The sequence below is a fragment of the Homo sapiens genome, chromosome 8 (assembly GCF_000001405.40).
Source record: "Homo sapiens chromosome 8, GRCh38.p14 Primary Assembly".
NCBI classification, from domain to species: domain Eukaryota; kingdom Metazoa; phylum Chordata; class Mammalia; order Primates; family Hominidae; genus Homo; species Homo sapiens.
In genome coordinates this window covers 144,063,968-144,086,611 of record NC_000008.11, presented here as the reverse complement: position 1 = coordinate 144,086,611, position 22,644 = coordinate 144,063,968, and the positions used below count along the sequence as shown (strand labels likewise).

At 55.0% G+C, this 22,644-nt stretch overlaps 2 protein-coding genes, 1 long non-coding RNA gene and 1 other non-coding gene across 5 annotated transcripts, besides 3 other annotated features; 1 reads left to right on the top strand and 3 right to left on the bottom strand.

Annotated features, from left to right (window-relative positions):
- Nucleotides 1-395: 395 nt before the first annotated feature.
- Nucleotides 396-3,978, bottom strand: GPAA1 (glycosylphosphatidylinositol anchor attachment 1). The gene is made up of 12 exons (NM_003801.4): nt 3,808-3,978; nt 3,309-3,488; nt 3,112-3,223; nt 2,751-2,898; nt 2,572-2,673; nt 2,282-2,478; nt 2,003-2,199; nt 1,737-1,890; nt 1,474-1,569; nt 1,133-1,323; nt 869-1,039; nt 396-730 (listed from the first exon to the last, which is right to left on the bottom strand). The coding sequence occupies exons 1-12, from the start codon at nt 3,879-3,881 to the stop codon at nt 487-489; spliced, it is 1,866 nt and encodes a 621-aa protein (NP_003792.1). The 5' UTR covers nt 3,882-3,978; the 3' UTR covers nt 396-486.
- Nucleotides 3,647-3,896: a silencer, noted in NCBI's record as "silent region_19654". NCBI's record gives its function as "represses an Ori minimal core promoter by ATAC-STARR-seq in GM12878 lymphoblastoid cells {active_cell/tissue: GM12878}" and the evidence as "EXISTENCE:reporter gene assay evidence [ECO:0000049][PMID:35858748]".
- On the top strand, nt 4,045-8,613 carry LOC124902038 (uncharacterized). The gene is made up of 2 exons (XR_007061141.1): nt 4,045-4,491; nt 5,231-8,613. It is a non-coding gene; the product is annotated as an uncharacterized LOC124902038 (long non-coding RNA).
- Nucleotides 5,964-22,556, bottom strand: EXOSC4 (exosome component 4). 2 transcript variants are annotated; one of them, XM_011517134.4, is made up of 3 exons: nt 22,382-22,556; nt 6,463-6,669; nt 5,964-6,370 (listed from the first exon to the last, which is right to left on the bottom strand). In XM_011517134.4, the coding sequence occupies exons 2-3, from the start codon at nt 6,544-6,546 to the stop codon at nt 6,011-6,013; spliced, it is 444 nt and encodes a 147-aa protein (XP_011515436.1). In that variant the 5' UTR covers nt 6,547-6,669; nt 22,382-22,556; the 3' UTR covers nt 5,964-6,010. The 2 variants fall into 2 exon arrangements, with proteins under 2 accessions (XP_011515436.1, NP_061910.1); NM_019037.3 differs by lacking the exon at nt 22,382-22,556 and adding an exon at nt 7,713-7,940.
- Nucleotides 6,670-6,738, bottom strand: MIR6847 (microRNA 6847). The gene has a single exon (NR_106906.1). It is a non-coding gene; the product is annotated as a microRNA 6847 (primary transcript).
- Nucleotides 7,869-8,168: an enhancer, noted in NCBI's record as "active region_28087". NCBI's record gives its function as "activates an Ori minimal core promoter by ATAC-STARR-seq in GM12878 lymphoblastoid cells {active_cell/tissue: GM12878}" and the evidence as "EXISTENCE:reporter gene assay evidence [ECO:0000049][PMID:35858748]".
- Nucleotides 8,179-8,228: an enhancer, noted in NCBI's record as "active region_28086". NCBI's record gives its function as "activates an Ori minimal core promoter by ATAC-STARR-seq in GM12878 lymphoblastoid cells {active_cell/tissue: GM12878}" and the evidence as "EXISTENCE:reporter gene assay evidence [ECO:0000049][PMID:35858748]".

The window sequence follows — 22,644 nt, the reverse complement described above, 5'->3', positions numbered from 1 at the left end:
CCTGGGCCCCATGCCATGCACCCTGGGCCTCCTCTGCAGGGCTCCAGCTCCAGCCTCAGTCCTAGCAGTAAAGATGGTGTTAGGTGGTTTCTGGGTGCCTCAGCTCCTGGCAGGCCCTCAAACCATGGCTATGGTGTATTCTCCTTCCCAGCACCGCTCCTGGCACAGTACCACAGAGCAATGCACACAGCCCTCTGAGCCTGCATGGCACCCGCCAGGGCTGAGAGTGCACCTGATGCAGCAGCAGAGCCCTGGTCGGCAGGAATGCTACCCAGTAAGTGGACTACAGCAGCCCTTGCCAGGGAGGAGGTGTGAGGAATGCCAAGCCCTGCAGACAGAGGCTTCTCACCCCCATGCCCTGGGGCCCTACACGGACAGCGGGCCAGGAGCTCAAATAGCTGCTGAAACAGACACTCATTTATTTCCCCAGAAGGAGGCAGAATGGGGTCCTTGGGGAGTCTCTGTCCCAGCCCGGACAGGCAGATCTCACTTCCAGAAGAGCACATTCCAGAAAAGCAGCCAGCAGGGGTAGAGGCCCAGGGACAGCAGTGGGAAGAGCAGGGCGCCGTAGGTGTGGTGCTCCAGCACACCCTGGGCTAGCGCTGCCAGGAAGAGCTGCCAGCCCTCGGCCAGTGACAGTGGCGCCTCCTGCAGCTCCCGCCACAGGAACAGGCTGCCAAGGAGCGTGGCTGCCGGGCTGGTCAGCACCAGCAGGGCAGCATAGAGGGTCCTGGGTGGAGAAGCAACATCAAGGTAGGCTCCATGGTGGGGGCATGGGCACCAGGTTGGGGGAAAGGGCTACTGAATGAGGGTGCGGTCTGTGATGAGGGCACAGGCATTGGGGGAAGTGGGGCTGATCCATACATACCGGGGCCCATGAGGCTTGGCAAGCGCAGCAGTGGGCACCATGGTGGTGGCCAGCAGGAAGCCCAGTGAGAAGTTGGTGAGGGCGATGCAGCCCAGCTGCAGTGCTAGGTAGATCAGGGCTACCAGCTTCAGTGCCATCCAGCCCCTGTCTGGGGCCTGTGTGCTTACCACCCTGTAAGACAAAGGACTCAGAGGCAACCCACAAGCTGTCTGCATGTCCAGGGGACCTCTACCCCTGCCCCCAACAACCAGCCCAGCCTCTTACCGGTGGGTATTGTGGGGCAGGGCCAGGCCAGCTGCATAAATCGCCAGCAGTGTCAGCACCACAGCCTCAGCCTCTGCCACTGGGAAGTGCTGGGTGGCAACGTGTTGGCCCAGCACTGGCAGGACATAGAGGGCCAGTCCCATGGCCTGTGAGATCAGCAGAGGTGCCACGAGCGAGGCCAGCCCCACACCCTGCAGGGCACACAGGCTCTTGGAGATGGACCCTGGGGCCAGGGGATCCCCAAAGACCACCACCATCCCACCAGCTGAGGCTAAGTTGCAACACTAAACACCAGTCAGACCCCAGAAGCCCATTCCAACAACAGAAGGGGGTGCCATCACCTGTGATGGGGGAAGGGGTACACTGGGGCCAGGGGCACCCCCGGGCTCCTCAAGGCCCATTCCAGCCTCATGCAGCTGCATCCACAGTTCCAGAGCGTAGCCCAATCAAGGACCCCAACAAGAGGTGTAACGGGATCTGCCCAGAGGGGGACCCAGGGCTCACCCCCGTACCCCACCCCCCATCAGGATGGAAGACTCTCCCCAGCCTAGAGTTGAGGAGACTGGAGGCTGGTCACAGGTAGATGGCAAGGGGCAGAGGATATCTTGAGACCAAGGACCAGGAGCAAGAAGCCGACAGCGGGCATGTAGAGGCCGATGGAGACGAAGCGGGAGAGGCCGGGGAGCAAGTAGAGGAAGAAGGACTGGTGCAGGCGCTCCAGGAGGTGGTTGAGCTTGCGGAACATGCCCTCCAAAGCCCTGTCAGGTGTGGGGCAGGTTCACGGCTGGCCAGAGCCACCAGGCCATCCCCCACTCCGCTCCAGCTAGACCCCATCCTGGGCATGGAAAGGGGGGACCAGAGACTACTTACTTGCCCACTGCCACCAGGTCATACTTGTACTGGCGGAAGCTATTGATGCCACGCAGGGTTAGGGCCTCCACACGGTAGCGCAGGAAGAGGCCATGGGAGCCGTGGGGGCGGCCGGAGGCCTGCCGCAGAACCATGAGCAGCAGTGTCTGCAGGCCCTGCAGCGGTCCATCCAATGATGTCCAGTCCTCGGGCTGCAGCTTTAGAGGTGCAGGACAGGATGAGACAGCCCCTCCCACAGACCCTGTGCCCTTCAGCCCTCAGGCAGGCAGGCAGCCCCACCTTGCCCTGAAGCGTGCACAACAGGCCCCCTTTCTGGCAGAAGGTCTGGAAGAGATTGAGCAGGTCAAGGTTGGGCAGCTGCCCGTTAAGCCCCTCCACGGCCACATCGAGGCTGGTGACCACATCACTGCTCAGCTCCAGGGCCACGGCTGCCTGAATGGCCCCAGCTCGGCCCTGCAGGGGAGACGACTGCATGCCTGTAGGAGCAAGTGAATGAGTGCTAATGGAGGACGTGGTGAGGACAGTGACCCTGAGAGGGGGACCAGGGCAGGCAGGACAAGAGAACCTACCAGTGACATTGACATCGTGGTAGGCTTCAAGCCAAGCCTCAGTGCCCAGAAGGTCATGTTCTGTTACCAGGAAGACGATATCTTTGGCCCAATAAATCTGCCCTGGAGGCCAGAAGCAGGATCAGCAGGGTCTGGGGCACTGACCAAACCCCTCCACGGCCAGCAGCCCTGAGACTCACCCCGGAAGTGGGCAGCCAGTGCCAGCAGCAGCCCCACAGCCTGGCTGTTGGTAGAGTCAGAGCCACAGGGCACGGTGAGCACAAGCGACTCGGTGCTGGCAGCACGCGGGGCCCGCAGGATGCCGTACACGTTGGTGCCCGACACCATCTGTATGCAGCATCGGTGGGGGGAGCCTCAGTGTAACTTTGTGGTAGGGGGCTGAAGGGCCCCCCACAACTTTCCTAGCCCTCCAGTGCCCACCAGGGATTTCCCTCCCACTGAGCTTCCTGGCCCCATGACACCCCCGCAAGGTGATACCCAGCCCAGACCCCTCCCTCCAAGGTGCTTTCTGGGCCCAGGCACACCCCACTCCCCCAGTACATAGCGCTCGTGGGTCTCATCTGGGAAGGGCAGTTTCCGGGAGAAACTCTGCGTGTAGACCTCCAGCCCTACTGACCGCATCGTCCGTTCAAGCCAGGCCACTGGCAGAGCCCTGCAGACACGAAGGGAGCCTCTGAGCAGAGCTCCCCGGCCTTAGCCACCACTGCTCGCCCCATACGCCCTGCTCTGCCGCTCACCCCGACTTCTTGCGGTGGGCGGCGAAGTCCCGGGCAAAAGCCCGGGCACGGTCTCCGCCCGCAAACTGCTCCTCCACCATGGTGGAGCCCATGGCGTTCTCCGACATGTAAGTGCGCTGGGTCAGCGGCGGGAAAACCAGCGCCAAGAACCAGGCGATGCCCGCCACGTAGCTCAGCACGCTGTGAGAGAGGACGGAGGGGCACCGGAGCGTCAGCGGGTCCTCAGACGCCGACCCGAGGCCACAACCTCCGCACCCGGGGTCGATCGCGCGGGTCTGGGAGACCTAAACCCGGAGTCCTGCATCGGGACGCCGGACCCGAGCCCTAAGCCTGGGCCTGATACCCTCAGTGCTTCCAGAGGGCAGGAGCGGAAGGGCGCGAGCAGCCGGAGGGGCGCGAGCAGCTGGAGCGGCCCCGGCCCTCGATGGGGACCGCGCATGGGGCCGCCGGCGCGAGCCCAGGGCCCTCGGGTCCCCGCCTCCCCGGGCCCTGTCCTCACCACAACGGCGCGTTGAGGCGCAGCACTAGGCGGGCGAGCGCGCGCCGGCGAACCGGGTCCGACAGGAGGCCCATGGCGGGGCAGGGCGGCGCGGCTACGGACCCTCTCCCGCCTCCAACTACCGCCGCGGTGCCCACAGGCTGCTCCTGTCAGACCCGGGGACCCGCGCTCGCCCGCACTTCCGGTCCCAGAGACGCTCGCGACGGCGCGCATGTCCAGAGCAGAGGGCGCGCCCCTAACACTGTGTGCTGCCGGCGCGCAAGCGCAGAGCCGCGGCCGGCTGGAGGGTGGGCGGTGCCGGTGAGGCCGGCAGGACCTGAGCGGGTTTGGGAGTCCGCTAGGCGCTGCCCCCACTAGAGTCGGACTCGCAGTGCACCCCCCGGGAGGGAGGCAGGTAGCCCTACAGCCGGAGGACAGCAGAGATGCCCGACAGCAGGCCGAGCTGGTCGGGGGCTGCGAGATAGCGCCGGCTGGAAGGCCCGCAGGAGTCAGAGGTGATGAGCCGGGCAGGTGGGTGGAAAGCCGGCGGCGGTCAGAGAATGGATGCCAAGCGAGACTGCCAATGACTCAGGACGTCCCAGTGGAGTCACAGCGTGAGCCCAGCACCGAGGTTTTCAGAGTCAGATGACTGCAGAGAAGATGCTGATGGCACTACTGGCCAAAACGGGCTTCACTGGAGCTGGGGTGTGTGCATTATAAAGTGGGGGATCATACTGTCACTGTCCGGGCCAGGAGATCCGTGGAATATTAGGGGAGAAGCAGTCCCAGGGTCCAGACTGCAGGGACTGGTAGTCGGGGCTCGGTGGGCCAGAGGTGAATGAAGGGGGAGTTTGCTCAAGAGGGTGCACTTTGGGAAGGTGAGGTGGGTGGATCCTTTGAGATCAGCCTGGACAACGAAATGAGACCCAGTCTGTACACACAAAAAAATTCCTTTTAAATTAGCCAGGTGAGTGGGGCATGCCTGTAGTCTCAGCTCAGGAGGCTAAAGTGGGAGGATCACTTGAGCCTGGGAGATCCAGACTGCAGTGAGCCGTGATCACACCACTGCACTCCAGCCTGAGCACAGAGCAAGACCATGTCTCAACAAACAAAATAGTGGTGGGCAGAGAGAAGGGTCAAAGCTGAAGACTCCATGTGAGAACAAGTTTTTTTTTGTTTTTTTTTTGAGACAGAGTCTTGCTCTGTCACCCAGGCTGGAGTGCAGTGGTGTAATCTTGGCTCACTGCAACCTTCAACTCCTGGTTCAAGTGATTCTCCTGCCCCAGCCTCCCTAGTAGCTGGGATTACAGGTGCCTGCCACCACACTAATTTTTGTGTCTTTAATAGAGATGGGGTTTTACCACATTGGCCAGGCTGGTCTCGAACTCCTGACCTCAAGTGATCCATGAGAACAGGTAATTTTTGTACTTTTATTTTTTTTTAGATGGAGTCTTGCTCTGTCGCCCAGGCTGGAGTGCAGTGGCACAATCTCGGCTCACTGCAACCTCCGCCTCCCAGGTTCAAGAGATTCTCCTGTCTCAGCCTCCTGAGTAGCTTGGATTACAGGCATGTGCCACCACTCCCAGCTAATTTTGTATTTTTAGTAGAGACGGGGTTTCGCCATGTTGGCCAGGCTGGTCTCAAACTCCTGACCTGAAGCAATCCGCCTGCCTCAGCCTCCCAAAGCTCTGGGATTACAGGCGTGAGCCACCATGCCTGGCTGTTGTACTTTCAGAGCCCAAGGTAAGCAGCAGGAAAAGCCCAGGGGGCTCCAAACCATAGTCCAGAGGTTGTGGGACATGGCCCCCACATCCCTAGGGTGGGTACCCAGAGCCAGCTGAGTTCTTCCTCAGCCCTTTGCTCAGGGCCCCCGATGTGCTGGAATAAGGGTAACAGATTCCTCAGTCTAATGGCCTGGCTCATCTTGCCAGGCCCTGCCTCCTGCTCAGCTGCCTTGAGTCCTTACTGGGACATGCTGCTTTTTCCACCCAGGGCCTCCCCTACAGAAACCCCCTAATCCACTGTTCTCTTCAGGGTTTGAATCAGGCTACACAGAGATAGGCCGTTCATGTGTGGGCGAGGGTCCCTAATCATCCCCAGGAGCCAGCACCAGACCAGGCTCTGCCAGCCTTCACATGGCTCTGAAGTGCTGTTAGGTGATAACGTACAGTGAGGGGTGTGTGGGCAGAGGAGGGTTTTATTCTGGACATGGGTGGCTGGGTGGTCAGTCCCCCAGCAAGATAGAGGCCTCACGCACATGCTGCCGGACCACTCGATCTAAGAGGGTGTGCACATCTCGGGCAGCCTGGGCAGCAGCCTCCAACACCCGCTCCAGGTGGTCCTCGTGCAGCCGGGCATCCATCTCAAGCAGCGCAATCTGTCCTGAGGCTGGCAGCAGGGCCAGGGCCAGCTGGGGGCCACCAGCTGCTTCCTCCACATGGCTGAGGTCCGCCAGGGCTGTGCCGTCCACGAAGCCAGCTGAGCACGCACACACAAAGTCTCTCATGGGTATCCCGGCATCCAGCACTGCCAGCGTGGCTGCATTCACACAAGCTGCATAGGTCCCACCATCTGCCTGTAGCACCTGCAGGGAACCCAGGGTGTCAGTCTATCAGACTCCCTCCCCAACCCCATCACACCCTTCCCTCCCTGGATTGACGGCTGCAGCTGGCTCACCTGCACATAGATATCAATCTGGGAGCGTGGGTGCAGCTGTGTGAGGATGGCTGCTTCGAAAGTCTGGCGGAGCTGCAGGCCCATCTCACAGGACTTACGGTCCCCATGTGGCCGTCGCTTGCGCTCACCTGTGCTGAAGGTCGCTGAACTATATTGACAGTTCACTAGGGCCCTGTCCGGCAGGGCTCGAGCCCGGGAGCCCCGGATCTGGAAGAGGACAGACACATGAGCCAGGCCCACTCCTTCCAGCTCACACTCCACTGTCCTCTGTGGGTCTGCCTCTCCCTCCACTTTCAATGCCTCAGCAAGGGGCAACTGCGTTACCTCCAAAACAAAGCCCCCTGTTTTGCGCTCTCTGTCTTGCATGTGTCGCCCTCTGGCACCTTTTAATTGGCTTCCTTGTGTCCATCCTTGCCCCATTCCCTGCCAACCCAAGTTTACAAACATCAACGCTGCTTCTGTCTCACCTACACACTCAAATCCTAACTACCTTACAAAGGTTTCACATTACATATGAAATAAGATCCCAAATCATTTCCCTACTCTACAAAACCCTAAGTCCTCACCTCCCCGGGAACCCTCAACCTGATTTGGAGTTATCCCCTCTTTCCCCACCAGCAGTCTTTCTGCTCTGCATAAGTGCCTTGCTTGTTTTCACCACCGTGGTCTTCGCCCTTCTGGTTCCCTCCGCCTGGAAAGCAGAGCTCCCACACTCATGCGCTAAGCAAACACTCTTTCAATACCTTCGCTGGCCAGGCAGTTACAGCGCTGGAAGCACAGTAATGAAACCAGATAGTTTTATGTAAAGTTCCTTTCTTTAGGAAGCTTATGTTCCAGCGAGGAAACAAAGGGGAAAATGCTTAAGCAAAATAGGCATTTGAGATTGTAGGTGCACAAAACAAAGGGTTTATTGTAGGGCGAGAAGTACCGCGTGGATAATAAGGTCGTCTGGGAAGGAGTGACGTCGGAGTAGAGCTGAAAGGAGAGGGAGCGAGTGGGGGAGTGCCTAGCACGTTGAAGAGCCGCAAAGAGGAAGGAGGGCGCAGGGACAGAGGCCGATGAGAAAGGCAGGACCACCGCGCAGCACACTAAGGACTTGCGTTTACTCCGAGTGAGATGCGGTGCTGAGCATCGGCTGTGTAGACTGAGGCGCGCCGGCCGTTGCCCCTCAAGTCCCCGAGCCAGCGCTCAGCCCGGCTGCCCCGCAGCTCCCACGGCCACACGATTCCCCATCCCGCGCGCCCACTCGCCTCGTGCGGGCCGTAGACCACAGCCAGTGCCTTGGTGTTGCCCTGCTCAATGTAGGCCGAGCCGTCAGCCTGCGCGAACACGCCCATCCGCGCCTGGATCTTGCGCAGCTCCCCGGCGCGCCGCCCGTCCACCCGGTAGCCCTGGTCCGACAAGAGCTCCAGCCCCGCCATGCTGCCCGGCCGCCAGGTCCGCTCTCTGCCTACTTCTCTGAGCCGCGGGAGAACTACAGCTCCCGGCGGCTCCGACCGCCCGGAATCTACGGTTTCCGGAGGTCCGCCATCACTTCCGGTTCCGGGGAACTACAGCTCTCCGCGGCCCTGACCTCCGTGGATCTGCGGTTTCCGGCGTTCCGCTGTCACTTCCTGTCCTGGTGAACTGGAGTTCACCGCGGCCCCGACCTCCCCGGATCTACGGTTTCCGGCGGTCCGGCTCTACTTCTGTCTCCGGGGAACTGCGGCGGCGCTATCGGGGAAGCAGCGGCTGGGCCCGCAGCCGTTCCCGGAGCTGTGCCACGGGTGCCAGGAGGTGGGCGCCCGCCGAAGGAGGAATTGCCCAGTCACGCCCTCGTGACCAGTGGTGCCTGCATTCAGCCCTTCCCCGCGCCCCAAGTGTGAAAGTGGAAGGATGAACCCAGTGGGGTGCGACACTGACAGGAGAAGGCATTGAGCGGTCCTAGGAAAGTGACCAGGCTGGTGTCCCAGGATGGTCCACACCTGGCACCTCTCCAGTCCTCTCATGCCCTCCCTTTACACCGAGCTTCCACACTGCAGTCAGGTGGGCCTCCCTTTTCCCTTTGAGGATGCAGATTTCCTCATCCTTTCCAGAGAGGGGTTGTATGTCTGTTTATCTCTTGCCACTTAACCTCAGCGGCTTCAAATAATAAAAATCATTCTATTATTATGTGCTGCAATCTGGGGTTATCTAGGCTCAGCTAGATAGTTTGCACTTAGGATCTCTCCTACAGTTGCTGCCAGATGGTAGCTGGGGCTGCAGCCATCCTAAAGCTTTCTCCCTCACATCTTTGGTGGCTGATGCTGGTGGCGGGCCAGGACCTCATCTGTGCCTGTCAGGCAGCACACCTACATGTGGCTTCTCCATGCAACCAGGGCTTCCTTGCAGTATGGCAACTGGGTTCCAAGGGTAGCCTTCCAGGACAACAAGGTGGACAACATGTGCATGGTATTTTTAGGACCTAACCTCAGAAGTCACATAGTGTCCCTCCTGCCACACTCTGTGGGTCAAGGCAGTCAGACAGATCTGCCCAGGCTTAAGGGATGAGGACAGGGACCCCACCCTTCAGTGGGAGGAGTGTCAATATTAGACTGTAGGAAGAGCAGGCGGGCTAGGGAAATGTGGTCTGCTGCAGGGGCCCAAGTTCAGTTGTCACAGCATCCCCTCCAAGGTGGTTAAGCTCTCCTGAAAGACTGAGGCATGAGAGTGAGTGAGCAAGCCACAACCCTGCTGCTGCAGCTGGTCTGAGGCCATGATGGGTCACCACCCTCTGCCACTTGCCACCCCGGATTCCCCACCCTCTGCTCTACAGCCACTCTGCTTATTGTGGAGCCCTTTTCCCCTTTCAGTCTGAGCTCTTACTGTCCCTGTTCTTACTGAGTCATCGTTTTTTTCGTTTGTTTCTTTGTTTTGTTTTGTTTTTTGAGATGGAGTCTTACTCTGCACCCAGGCTAGAGTGCCGTGGCACAATGTCAGCGCACTGCACCCTCCACCTCCAGGGTTCAAGTGATTCTTCTATCTCAGCCTCCCAAGTAGCTGGGAAGGTGGGATTACAGGCACCTGCCACTATGCCTGGCTAAGGTTTTTTTTTTTTTTTTGGAGATGGAGTCTCACTGTCACCCAGGCTGGAGTGCAGTGGCACAATCTCAGCTCACTGCAACCTCCACCTCCTGGGTTCAAACGATTCTCCTACCTCAGCCTCCCAGGTAGCTGGGATTACAGGCATGCACCACCATGCCCTGCTAACTTTTTTTTTGTAGTTTTAGTAGAGATGGGGTTTCACCATGTTGACCAGGCTGATCTTGAACTCCTGACCTCAGGTGATCCACCTGCCTCGGCCTCCCGCCACCACGCATGGCCATTACTGGGTTGTCCACTGACAGTCCTTGCCGCATGCGGGAAGACTAGACGCCCAGGGAGCTCTGTGGACTGCCCACCCCAGTTGTGTAGCATTGACCGTAGCAACTCAGGACAATGAGGACGATGTTGGTCTTCAGCCTAAGGTGTCCAAAGTGGGCCAGTGATAGCCGCTACTTCAAGATCAGTGGAACCTTTGCTGTGTTCCCTGGTGGAAGTATTCATCTTCAGGAACCAGGCCTCCAACCTGGCAGCATTACAGGTTTAGGATTATGGGGCCACTCCTACCTCACACCTTTGGTTCTCTGACCCTCGTACTCCAGCTTTAGGGTACACACATGGGTCGATTCAAATTTTGGAGGCCTAAAGCTTATACAAATTCAGGGGCCGTGAGAGGTATCCCCAAGACCCCTCCAGAGTAACCGATTTGCTAGAAGGACTCACTATAGACTTGTCTTCACGCCTAAGATTATTACACAGAGAGGATATAAGTCTGAATCAGCAAAGAGAAAAGGTGCATGGGATGAATTCCACAGGAAATCAGGCGTGAGCTGGCCACGTCCTCTCCTGGTGGACTCCACGGGAAGAAGCTGGAGCCGTGTGTGTGAAATGCTGTCTGCCAGGGAAGCTTCTTAGACACTCAGCGCCCTGGGGTTTTATGGAGGGCTGGTCACATACACAGTCTGTGCCAAGCATGTGCCCAAATTCCAGACCCCTAGAAGCAACACAGGTGTTCAGCATGAGCCATATTTGTACAAACAGTCTAGGCACAGTGAGACACGCTTACCAGAGAGTGGGGGAACCATGAAAAACCCAAGTTCCCAGACACCCACTCTTCAAACTTGCCTGTGAAGAAGAGCTTCTCAGGCCTGCTGTTAACTCTTCTATGCAGTCTTCTTTTGAAACATAAGACAAAATTGTATATCCAAAACTAAGTGAATAGTGAGAAAAGAAGTCCCAACACATAACAAACATTTTAAAAGTTGTCAAATACTACAAACATCACAAAATGCAGAAAACCTGCCTGACATATTTGACTCCAACAGGTTTCCCCTACATTTCTTTGATGCGTTCTCTGATGCTCTCTTAAGATGACAACACCTTTTTATAACGTAACCTTCTATATGTAGAAAGAATATGGCAGACGCGGTGCTCGCGCTTGTAATCCCAGCACTTTTGGGAGGCAGAGGCAGGCGGATCACTTGAGCCTAGGAGTTCAAGATCAGCTTGGACAACATGGCAAAACCCCATCTCTACAAAAAATGCAAAAAATCAGCTGGACATGGGCCGGGCGCGGTGGCTCACGCCTGTAATCCCAGCACTTTGGGAGGCCGAGGCGGGCAGATCACGAGGTCAGGAGATCGAGACCATCCTGGCCAACACGGTGAAACCCTGACTCTACTAAAAATATCAAAAATTAGCCGGGCGTGGTGGCGGGCACCTGTAGTCCCAGCTACTCGGGAGGCTGAGGCAGGAGAATGGCGTGAACCCAGGAGGCGGAGGTTGCAGTGAGCCGAAATCGCACCACTGCACTCCAGCCTGGGCGACAGAGCGAGACTCTGTCTCAAAAAAAAAAAAAAATTAACTGGACATGGTGGTGCATACCTGTGGTCCCAGCTACTTGGGAGGTGGAGGTGGGAGGCTCACTTGAGCCCAGGAGGTCAAGGCTGCAGTAAGCTGTGGTCACACCACTGCACTCCAGCCTGGGCAACAGAATGAGACCCTGTCAAAACAAAAAACAAATAAACAAAAACCAAGAAAATGATTTAGTTTCTCCTCTCACATGTTTGATCAAAATTTAATTTTATTACTAATAATTAAGTTGCTTTCAGGTAAAAGCTCCTTTGGGTAATATGTACATTTTTAGAATTGTCATTAAATTGGAGGAAACCGCTTATCAAATTTCTTCCACATATGAGCCATAACAGTTCAGGGCTTGGCTGGGTGAGGTAGCTCGTGCCTGTAATCCAACACTTTGGGAAGCTGAGGCAGGAGGATCGCTTGAGGCCAGGTGTCCGAGACCAGCCTGGGCAACATAGTGACACACTATCTCTACAAAAAAAAATTTAAAAATTAACTGGGTATGGTGGCACACGCCTGTAGTTCCAGCTACTTGAGAGACTGAGACGGGAGGGTGGCCTGAGCCGAGGGAGTTGGAGGATGCTGTGAGCTATGATCGTGCCACGGTACTCCTGCCCATACCACAGAGCCAGGCTGTCTCAAAAAAACAAACCAAAAAACCCAGAACCACCCCCCGCCCCAAAAAAATGAATTTGAGTTTGGGTTTTCTTGTTTGTGACTAATCTTAGATCCTCTTTGAGTTGGCACTTGGCCAATTTCATCAGCTTGTTGTGTCATGACATGCAGCCGAGGGAGGTGGGTGTTTCCGGAAGCCATTTCTACACCAGAATGACTAGCGATAGCATAACTGTATCGGGAAGTGACTGTTCCCGCTAAGCCCAAGCAAAACGTAGCTTCAACTCAACCTCCCGGGAGCTGGACCCCACAACACCCCCTCCAGCTCTATGCAGCAGGGGAGGGGGTAACTGATGGGGGTAACTGATGGCAGGTTGCAGGGGGAAGAGACAGTTTTAGCTGGTTGTGTTTAAAATATTTCACTTTTGCAAATTTTACGAAATATATGACTCTGTAAATACTTTGTTGGGGCCCAAGCCGGGAAGGGGCTGTGGGACTGAGGATCCTGGAACTGATCCCCGAGATTCCTGGTGAGCCTGTTTCTCGAGCGCCAACTCCTTACAGCAGCACAGGCCGTATCCCAGCAGAAGTGCCCCTCCCTGGAAGGGGCTGACATCCAGCAGGCAGTGGGGCAGGGCCTTCAGCAGACTGTGCCACTATTCCGTTGGGCTGACAAGGGTTTGGGAGACAGTGAGTCCCAGGAACATGAGCTCATTGCCACACAGTAGGCTCTAAGGTGGGTTGTTAGGATTTTTTTTTTTTTTGAGACAGAGTCTCGCTCTGTCACCCAGGCTAGAGTGCAATGGCATGATCTTGGCTCACTGCAACCTCTGCCTCCCGTGTTCAAGCGATTCTCATGTCTCAGCCTCCTAAGTAGCTGGGATTACAGGCGTGTGCCACCATGTCTGGCTAATTTTTGTATTTTTAGTAGAGATGGGGTTTTACCATGTTGGCCAGTCTGGCCTCAAACTCCTGACCTAGTGATCTGCCTGCTTTGGCCTCCCAAAGTGGTGGGATTACAGGTGTGAGCCACCACACCCGGCCGGTCGTTAGTATTTATCATGGTCCAGTGGAAGGTAAGACATTCCGAAAGCTTGGGATAGAGGTGCTGGTGGAGGAGCTGTTGGCAGGAAGAGCAAAGTTGCGTTCAGAGTAGGTGTCGGTTCTGGGAAGAACGAATCGCTGCTCCTCCAGGTGGGAGGGGCCTGAGGTCTTTGTTATTGTTTTTTGAGAAGGAATCTCATTCTGTCGCCCAGGCTGGAGTGCAGTGGTGCGATCTTGACTCACTGCAATCTTCGCCTCCTGGGTTCAGGCGAGTCTCCTGCCTCAGCTTCCCAAGTAGCTAGGATTACAGGCGCCCGCCACCACGCCTGGCTAATTTTTGTATTTGTATTTTTAGTAGAGATGGGGTTTCACCATGTAGGCCAAGCTGGTCTCCTGACCTCAGGTGATCCGCCCACCTTGGCCTCCCAAAGTGCTGGGATGACAGGCGTGAGCCACCACGCTGGCCACACTTGAGGTCTTTGGTCTCTGCTGCTATGGGCTGGACATTCAGCAGTCAGTAGGACCATACAGAGCCACTGTCCCTGCCACCATGGCCACTCTGTTCATGGGCCTTTGCATAAGCTAAGCTTTGACATCTTTGCCTGCAAAGCCCAGAGTCTGGGCCCCTTCAAAGGCACTTACTGTTGCCTGCTCTTCATCCTGTGTGACAGTCATACCATCCTGAAGTCAACATATCAAAGGGACACCTGCACCCCCTTGTTTATTGCAGCACCGTTCACAGTAGGCAAGATATGGATTCATCCCACGTGTCCATCGGTGGATGAATGGGTAAAGAAAATGTGTGTATACACAATAGAATACCTTTCAGCCACAAAAAGAATGAAATCCTGTCATTTGCATCACCCTGGAGGTTATTATGTTAAGTGAAATAAGCCAGGCACAGAAAGACACACATGGAATGCTCTCACTCACATGTGGGAGCTAAAAAAGTTGATCTTGCGGAGGTAGACAATAGAATCATGGTCCCCAGAGACTGGGAATGGTGCGTGTGTATGTTGCGGGGTGGTGGTAAAGAGAGTTTGGTTAATGGGTAGGTAAACATACAGGTAGATAGGAGGTATAAATTGTAGGTCGGGCGCGGTGGCTCACACCTGTAATCCAAGCACTTTGGGAGGCTGAGACGGGCAGATCATTTGAGGTCAGGCATTCAAGACCAGCCTGGCCACCATGGTGAAATCCCATCTCTACTAAAAATATAAAAATTAGCCCGGTGTGGTGGTATGTGCCTGTAATCCCAGTTACTTGGGAGGCTGAGGCAGAAGAATCACTGGAACCCGGGAGGTGGAGCTTGCAGTGAGCTGAGATTGTGCCACTGCACTCCAGCCTGGGCAACAGAGCGAGACTCCGTCTCAAAAAAAAACAAAACAAAACAAGGCATTGTACATTTAAAAATAGCTTGAGGTGAGGACTTGAAATGTTCCCAACACACGGAAATGACACATACCCAGGTGACGGATGTCGTAAATACCCTAAATACCCAGACATGATCTTTACACTTTCTGTGCATGTAACACAGTATCACATATACCCCATAAATATGTACACATTTATTTTATTTTTTAATTTTTCTGAGACAACATCTCACTCTGTCACCCAGGCTGCAGTGCAGTGGCACGATCTTGGCTCTCTGCAGCCTCGACCTCCTGGGCTCAAGCAATCCTCCCACCTCAGCCTCCCCGGTAGCTGAGACTACAGGTGCATGCCACCACCCCCAGATAATTTTTTTGTGTTTTTTTGCGGAGCTGTGATCTCGCTATGTTGCCCAGGCTGGCCCTGAACTCCTAGGCTCAAGTGATCCTCCCGCCTTGGCCTCCTAAAGTGCTGGGATCACAGGCATAAGCCACCACACCTGACCAATATGTACAGTATGTATGTATCAATACAAAATATAAAGAGTCACACTATCCTCTTTCTTTGCATGTCTCATCATTTTTGTAGAAAACTGGACACTTTAGGCTGGGTGAAGTGGCTCATGCCTGTAATCCCAGCACTTTAGGAGGCCAAGGCGGGAGGTCAGGAGTTCGAGATCAGCCTGGTCAACATGGTGAAACCCTGTCTGTACTAAAAATACAAAAAACTAGCCACGTGTGGTGGCACGCACCTGTAATCCCAGGCGCATGCCTATAATCCCAGCTACTTGGGAGGCTGAGGCGGGAGAAGTGGGACACTGCACTCCAGCCTGGGAGACAGAGTGAGACTCCATCAGAAAGGAAAGGAGAGGAGAGGGGAGGAGAGGGGAGCGGAGGGGAGGAGAGGGGAGCGGAGGAGGGGAGGGGAGAGGGGAGGGGAGAGGGGAGGGGGGAGGGGAAGGGGGAGGGGAGGGGGGAGGGGAGGGGAGAGGGGAGGGGAGGAGAGGGGAAGGGGGAGGGGAGGGGGAGGGGAGGGAGAAAGGAAACTGGACACTTTAGAGCGTATATCACATCAACTTTGGGTTAGGATTGGCCGATGGCCCTTGTGATTTTGCTGCTGTTTTTTCATGTTGTTTAGTGGTTTGCCTGGGCCAATTCCATGTGTCTGTTTGCCCCACAGTGTGTAGCTTCTGTCTCTGCTCCGCTCCTCCCTCCTTATTTTTAAGAACTTCTGGCTTCCTAGAAATCACGCCTGGGTCAGCCTAGTTTAGCGCTCACCACCAATTGGTCAAAGGTTGTATTTAACCTCCCCAAGCCAATGAGGCTCCTGTAGGTCCCTCAATTTCTCTGAAAAAAAAATTTTTTTTTTTTCAAGACGGAGTTTTGCTGTTGTTGCCCAGGCTGGAGTGCAATGGTGCGACCTCGGCTCACTGCAACTTCTGCCTCCCGGGTTCAAGGGATTCTCCTGCCTCAGCCTCCTGAATAGCTGGGATTGCAGGCGTGCGCCACCATGCCCGGCTAATGTTTTGTATTTTTAATAGAGATGGGGTTTCATCATTTTGGTCAGGCTGGTCTTGAACTCCTGACCTCAGGTGATCCACCTGCCTCAGCCTCCCAAAGTGCTGAGATTATAGGCATGAGCCACCACGCCCAGCCCCAATTTTTTTTTTTTTTTTTGAGATGGAGTTTTGCTCTGTTGCCCAGGCTGGAGTGCAGTGGTGTGATCTTGGCTCACTGCAACCTCCACCTCCTGGGTTCAAGCGGTTCTCCCGCCTCAGCCTCCCAAGTAGCTGGGATTACAGGCACCCGCCACCACACCCAGCGCAATTTTGTATTTTTATTAGAGACGGGGTTTCTCCATGTTGACCAGGCTGGTCTTGAACTCCTGACCTCGTGATCCACCCACCTCAGCCTCTCAAAGTGCTGAGATTCCAGGTGTGAGCCACGCCCCCCAAGCTTCTCCCAGTTTCCTTCTGTGTCCTGACCAAAAATCAGAGGGCCTTGACCATTCTGTGACTCAACAGCTGCAGTTTTTTTCCAGCAGGTTTGAACCCACACCGGGACCTTGAACTTTCCCAGGCACTAATAAAGGATCTGGGTTTACTAGAAAGAAACTGGCCCGGCCCTGAGCCAAATGCCTTAAACCCACACATAAACTCCGTTCCCCGGCCACCTTGCTTTGGGCACGCCCGGGCGGAACAGCCCTTTTTTCTCCTTGTTTCAAGGACTGCTGCAGCTCTCTGTCCCTGAGTTCCCCTAATTAATGCTCTGGACTAGTCACCCTGGCGTTTAGTGCTTCTTTCTTTGGAAACCCAATAGGCTCAATCTTGTGACAGTTTGGGGCACTCCCTTGGGGGAACCCCCATGCTGCTGTTTTTGGGGTGATTCCAGCCTGGGGTTCGGTGGGATAAAGCAGCTCCATCCTTTGCTGATGGATGTGTGTGTGGTTGGAAAGCTTTCCAATCTGCTCCGCATTCAGCAAGCGTGGTGGCTAAATAACAACCCCAAAGACACTCAGGCCCGAATCACTGAAGCCTATGAATGTACCTCATTTGGCAAAAAAGACTTTGCAGATGAGATGCAGTTAAGGAGGCTGAGGCGGGGAGGCGATCCCGGGTGACCCAGTGGGCCCTGAATGTCATTCCAAGCGTCCTTTAGGAGGGAAATGGAGGGAGATTTGACTACAGGAGAAGAGAAGGCTGTGGGACCACCTGGGTAGAGATCAGAGTGATGTGGCTGCAAGCCAAGCAGTCCCGGCACACACCAGGAACTGGAAGAGGCAGGGCACCTGCTTTCCTCTGGAACCTCCAGAAGGAACCATCCCTGTAAAAGCCTTGATTTTAGCCCCATAAGACTCATCTTGGACTTTTGGTCTCCGGGACTGTAAGATAGTAAGTTTCTGTTGTTTTAAACCTGCAAGTCTGTGGTGATTTGTGAGGGCAGCAATAGACAGCCAGCACACCCAACCACTCAGCCTGGGTGCAGCCTGGCACCGGTGCAGAGGCTTCTGGACTCCCAGGGGTGGATGCAGTATCTGCAGGATCCTTTCTTTGTTGTCTCTGTCCCTGGTTTTCAGCTACACTCCAGGCTGGCCTGCCATTTCATTTGCTGCTATCAGTTTCACACAGCTGTCCGCTTTTTCCTAATTGCTCTCCACTGAGCTTCCCACAGCCTGCCACGCACCTTAGGCGTGACTTTCCCACACTGTGCTTCCTAAGGAAGGCAGCCCCATGCAGCAGCCAGCCCTGCCACCGCGTCTCACTGGGGCAGCATCTGTGGACCTGGGGGTGGGCGTGGTGGCCTGCTTCTCCCGGAGTGAGACCCCTGTGCTGTGGCAGGTGTTGGGGGACGGGAGGCCTCGTCTTCTCGGCGTGTCCCTCCCTATGTGGTGCCTCTGCCTTGCAGCCAGGAGCTGGGAGGAAGGAACCCGTGTCCTCAGCTGCACCTCCTGGAGTAGAGCTTTTATGATGGAGCCAGGGACCGGGGGAAGCAGGCTGAGCTCAAGCACCACAGATTCCCCCTGTTCTGATCAAGACTTAGTAGATCTTCTTGAATAAATGCTTCTTGCTTTGCTGTATGCCCCTTGGTCAATTTCCAAAGTGAGAGGGCTACACAGCCCACTGGGCGTCCTGCCCTGTGTGGGGTCTCAGGTGGAGGCCCGGAGAACACAGAGCGTCACTTCCCCACACTCTTCCCGCACAGGCCAGTCAGATTCCACAGCATGAGAACTGGACTTGCCTCCCAAGGGCCAGGGCAGCGTGTTCGTCTAAAGTGGCAGCCATGGTGGTGGTGTCAACTGAAGAATGGCGAGGTTTATACATTTGGAAAGGAGAGCTTTATTTCTCATAAAGGGTTGCAGTCTGCAGGGCGGCCATTCTGACAGGCAGGGAAGCGTAGCCTCCAGTCAGAAGTCAAAAACAGACACTTCATGGGAGGGGCAAGGGGAACAGGAATTTATGCTGAAGGGAGTGGCCAAATATACATATTCAATGAGCTATAAGAGGAGTCATGAATATTTATGAAAGGGGAGCACACAAACGCACAATTTAGCTTCATGCCTCCCCATGGGACTCATGTTCAAAAAATGGTGGCATTATCGTGATCTGAGGGTGGGGTTTTCAGGCTTCCAGCGTCAAATGGTGCAGCAGAGGACACAAAACCCCTCCCTGTGCTTCCTCCATAGCCGTAGAGCCACTCCGTGGCCAGTGGTCTCTATCAGGAAGGAATGCAGGCTGGCAGGTTGTTTCGGCAGGTTGAACCTCCGCCTCTTGGGTTCAAGCGATTCTCCGGCCTCAGCCTCCCAAGTAGCTGGGATTACAGGCATCTGCCACCATGCCCGGCTAATTTATGTATTTAGTAGAGATGGGGTTTCACCATGTTAGTCAGGCTGGTCTCGAACTCCTGACCTCAGGTGATCCATCCGCCTCAGCCTCCCAAAGTGCCAGGATGACAGGCGTGTGCCACTGTGCCCGGCCAACACATTTTCTATCTTTGTTCATCTTGAACTGTCTTTATTTCACCTTCATTTTCAAAAGTGGTTTTCCTAAATATCGGATTCTTGCTTGACAGTGTTTTTCTGACTTTGAGTCTTCTGGTCTCCACTGCTTCTTCTGAGGAGTCAGGTGTTCATCTTATTTGGGGTTCTCTTATATGTGATGAATCATTTTTTTATCTTGTTAACTTTCAAAGCTTTCTCTTTGTCTTTGCTTTCCAGTATTTTTACCATGATATGTCAACTCCTGGAAGCTGCCCACATTCCTTGCTCTGAGACTCCCCCAGCAGTGGAGACTCTCCCCTGTGTGGAATCTCTTTCATGCTTTGAGTTCTTTCCACTGGAAAGAGACCCATCCTTTGGAAGGATCACGTGATTAGGTTAGGCTCACCCAAAACCATCTCCTTTATCCCCCAGCAGTGTCAAAAAACATAACCTAATCATGGGAGTAAAGTCCATCTTATTCACAGTCCTGGGGATTATGCACGGCATGTACAGCAGGAAATCCTGGAAGCCTTCTGAGAATTCTGCCTATCACGCTTTACCCTCTGGCTTTCGGAGTGTGTGAGTTGAAAGTTGACTGACTGAGCCTCTCATTCTTTTTTTTGTTTTTTTGTTTTTGAGACAGAGTCTCACTCTTGTTGCCCAGGCTGGTGTGCAATGGTGTGATCTCGGCTCTCCACAACCTCTGCCTCCCAGGTTCAAGCGATTCTTCTGCCTCAGCCTCCCGAGTAGCTGGGATTACAGGCATGCACCACCACGCCTGGCTAATTTTGTATTTTTAATAGAGACGGGGTTTCTTCACGTTGGTCCGGCTGGCCTCAAACTCCCGACCTCAGGTGATCCGCCCGCCTCGGCTTCCCAAAGTGCTGGGATTACAGGCATGAGCCACCTCGCCTGGCCGAGCCTCATTCTTTTGGGGTAAAATCTCTCCAACTATCAGAAATACTCTACTCCAGGCCAGGCTTGGTGGCTCATACTTGTAATCCCTAATCCCAGCACTTTGGGAGGCCAAGGTGGGTGGATCACCTGAGGTCAGGAGTTTGAAAACAGCCTGGCCAACAGGGTGAAACCCTGTCTCTACTAAAAATACAAAAAAATTAGCCAGGCATGGTGGCACACACCTGTAGTCCCAGCTACTTGGGAGGCTGAGGCAGGAGAATTGCTTGAACCCAGGAGTCGGAGGTTGCAGTGAGCCGAGATGGTGCCATTGCACTCCAGCCTGGGTGACAGAGTGAGACTCTGTCTCAAAAAAAAAAAAAAAAAAAAAAAGAGAAAAACTCTACTTTGGCCAGGTGTGGTGGCTCACACCTGTAATCCCAGCACTTTGGGAGAACAAGGCAGGAGGCCAGGAGTTTAAGGCCAGCCTGGGCAACATAGTGAGACCCCGGGCCAGGTGCAGTGGCTCACGCCTGTAATCCCAGCATTTTGGGAGGCCAAGGCGGAGGGATCACGAGGTCAGGAGATAGAGACCATCCTGGCTAACACGGTGAAACCCTGTCTCTACTAAAAATACAAAAAAAAATCAGCCAGGTGTGGTGGCGGGCACCTGTAGTCCCAGCTACTCGGGAGGCTGAGGCAGGAGAATGGCCTGAATCCGGGAGGCAGAGCTTGCAGTGAGCTGAGATCACGCCACTGCACTCCAGCCTGGGTGACAGCAAGATTCCATCTCAAAAAACAAAACAAAACATAGCGAGACCCTGTTTCTACCAAAAAAAAAAAACAAAAAAACTAGCCAGGCATGGTGGTGCATGCATCTGTGGTCCCAGCTACTTGGGAGGCTGAGGTAGGAGGATCCCTTGAGCCTGGGAGGTCAAGGCTTCGATGAGCTATGATTGCACCACTGCACTCCAGCCTGGGTGACAGAGTGAGACCCCATCTCAAAAAAAAAAAAAAGTAAATAAAATAAAATAAAAAAATAAAAATACTCTACTCCATTTTCTTCCTAATTATAGGAATTATTTTATTGTAGTTGAGACAGAGTCTTATTCTGTTGCCCAGGCTGGAGTGCAGTGGCACGATCTCAGCTCACTGCAACCTCTGCCTCCCAGGTTCAAGTGATTCTCCAGCCTCAGCCTCCTGAGTAGCTGAGATTACAGGTGCCTGCCATCGCGGCCAGCTAATTTTTGTATTTTTTTTTTTAGTAGAGATGGGGTTTCACCATGTTGGCCAGGTTGGTCTCGAACTCCTGACCTCAGGTGATCTGCCCGCCTCAACCTCCCAAAGTGCTGGGATTACAGGTGTGAGCCCCTGCACCCGGCCGAGAATTAAATTGTCACAATTTCTGTTGGGATTCAGTACAGTTGCCCCCAGTCTCCTGGAGCACTAGTCTCAGGGGCACTGCCCCCACTCGCACAGGTGAGGGGCCCTGCGATGGCTCCACTCGAGTAGCCAGGGAAAGGAGTTTGAGAATCCCAGGACAGTCTACAAATCAGCAAGTGGAAACTAGACCATCAAACAAGCAAAAGAGAAAAATGATGTAAAATACATAATAATCATAATGTAAGAAAAAGCCAGAAAACCAAAGTAACTGTGCAGAAGTGTCCCTTTAAAGACAGATTGGAGGCTGGGCGCGGTGGCTCACGCCTGTAATCCCAGCACTTTGGGAGGCTGAGGTGGGCAGATCACGAGGTCAGGAAATTGAGACCATCCTGGCTAACACAGTGAAACCCCGACTCTACTAAAAAAAATACAAAAAAATTAGCCAGGCGTGGTTGCGGGCACTTGTAGTCCCAGCTACTTGGCAGGCTGACGCAGGAGAATGGCGTGAACCTGGGAGGCGGAGCTTGCAGTGAGCCCAGATGGCGCCACTGCACTCCAGCCTGGGCGACAGAGCAAGACTCCATCTCAAAAAAAAAAAAAAAAAAAGACAGATTGGATAGAAGAAGAAAGTCCTTTATGTGATCTAAAATGCAAACCACTGTCACCACTGAGGGTGAGGGTGGCTCTCCTGTCCCTGGGGAGGTGTGTCTTTAGGTCCTGGTCCTCAGCCTCTGGTGGGCCGCCTGGCCCATCCCCTTCCTTGAGGTTATGGCCCAGATGTGGTGCCTCTTCCAGGGCACCTGCCTGCTCGCTGCAACCTCCATGTGACAATGCCAAGGCCCTGTGCCCCCAGAAACAGGCCCAGCCTCCCTTGTGGTGGCTCTAGCACTGCCTGGTGCATCCCTTGGCCTGCAGCCCCCTCCCATGCTGTCCTAGCGTGCTCTCGGCTGGCTCTGCCCCTGTAGCCCTGGCCTGCCCTGGTTGCTGCTGTCCAGCTCCTGCTGTTGCTGGGCCCCATCCTGCAGGGCAGCCACGCACCCACCCTTCCTGATCCCTTCAGAAGCTGTGCCAACCGTGACTGCCGACATACCACACCTGGTTGCCTAAAACTATGTCCTGGCATGGCCAGGCCTGGAGGCTGTGGCTGGTGGCCAGTGGGCTGTCAGACGGGTGGGTGCGGAAGCCTGCATCCCATATCCCTTCCCCCACGACACACCTGGGCTTGGCCGGGTCAAAGAAGCTTCCATCTTCTAGGAGGAGGATTCCTGGAGTGAGCCAGAGACCTGGGACAGTTCTGGGCACCCACTGGCCATTTGGCCCTCAGGGGGCTGGAGGTCAGAGGTCAGGCCACCTCTGCCACGGGGTGGTTGGAACAGCTGGGTCCTGACCCTGAAGGCCCGGAATGCGGCTGAGGCGAGGGGGCAGGGGCAGCTGCTGACCTCACAATAGCAGGGTCTGCTGTCCCTGGCCGGCCTGCTG

Bases quoted from the DNA above. Each gene is read 5' to 3' on its own strand.
- GPAA1 (NM_003801.4), bottom strand. From the start codon at position 3,881: ATGGGCCTCCTGTCGGACCCGGTTCGCCGGCGCGCGCTCGCCCGCCTA. The intron at 2,899-3,111 runs GTACTGGGGGAG...TGCTGCATACAG, and splicing joins ATGAGACCCACGAGCGCTAT to ATGGTGTCGGGCACCAACGT. The intron at 2,479-2,571 runs GTAGGTTCTCTT...TTGCTCCTACAG, and splicing joins CCACGATGTCAATGTCACTG to GCATGCAGTCGTCTCCCCTG.
- EXOSC4 (NM_019037.3), bottom strand. From the start codon at position 7,883: ATGGCGGGGCTGGAGCTCTTGTCGGACCAGGGCTACCGGGTGGACGGG. The intron at 6,670-7,712 runs GCGAGTGGGCGC...GTCCTCTTCCAG, and splicing joins TGGTCTACGGCCCGCACGAG to ATCCGGGGCTCCCGGGCTCG. The intron at 6,371-6,462 runs GTGAGCCAGCTG...GGTTCCCTGCAG, and splicing joins AGATTGATATCTATGTGCAG to GTGCTACAGGCAGATGGTGG.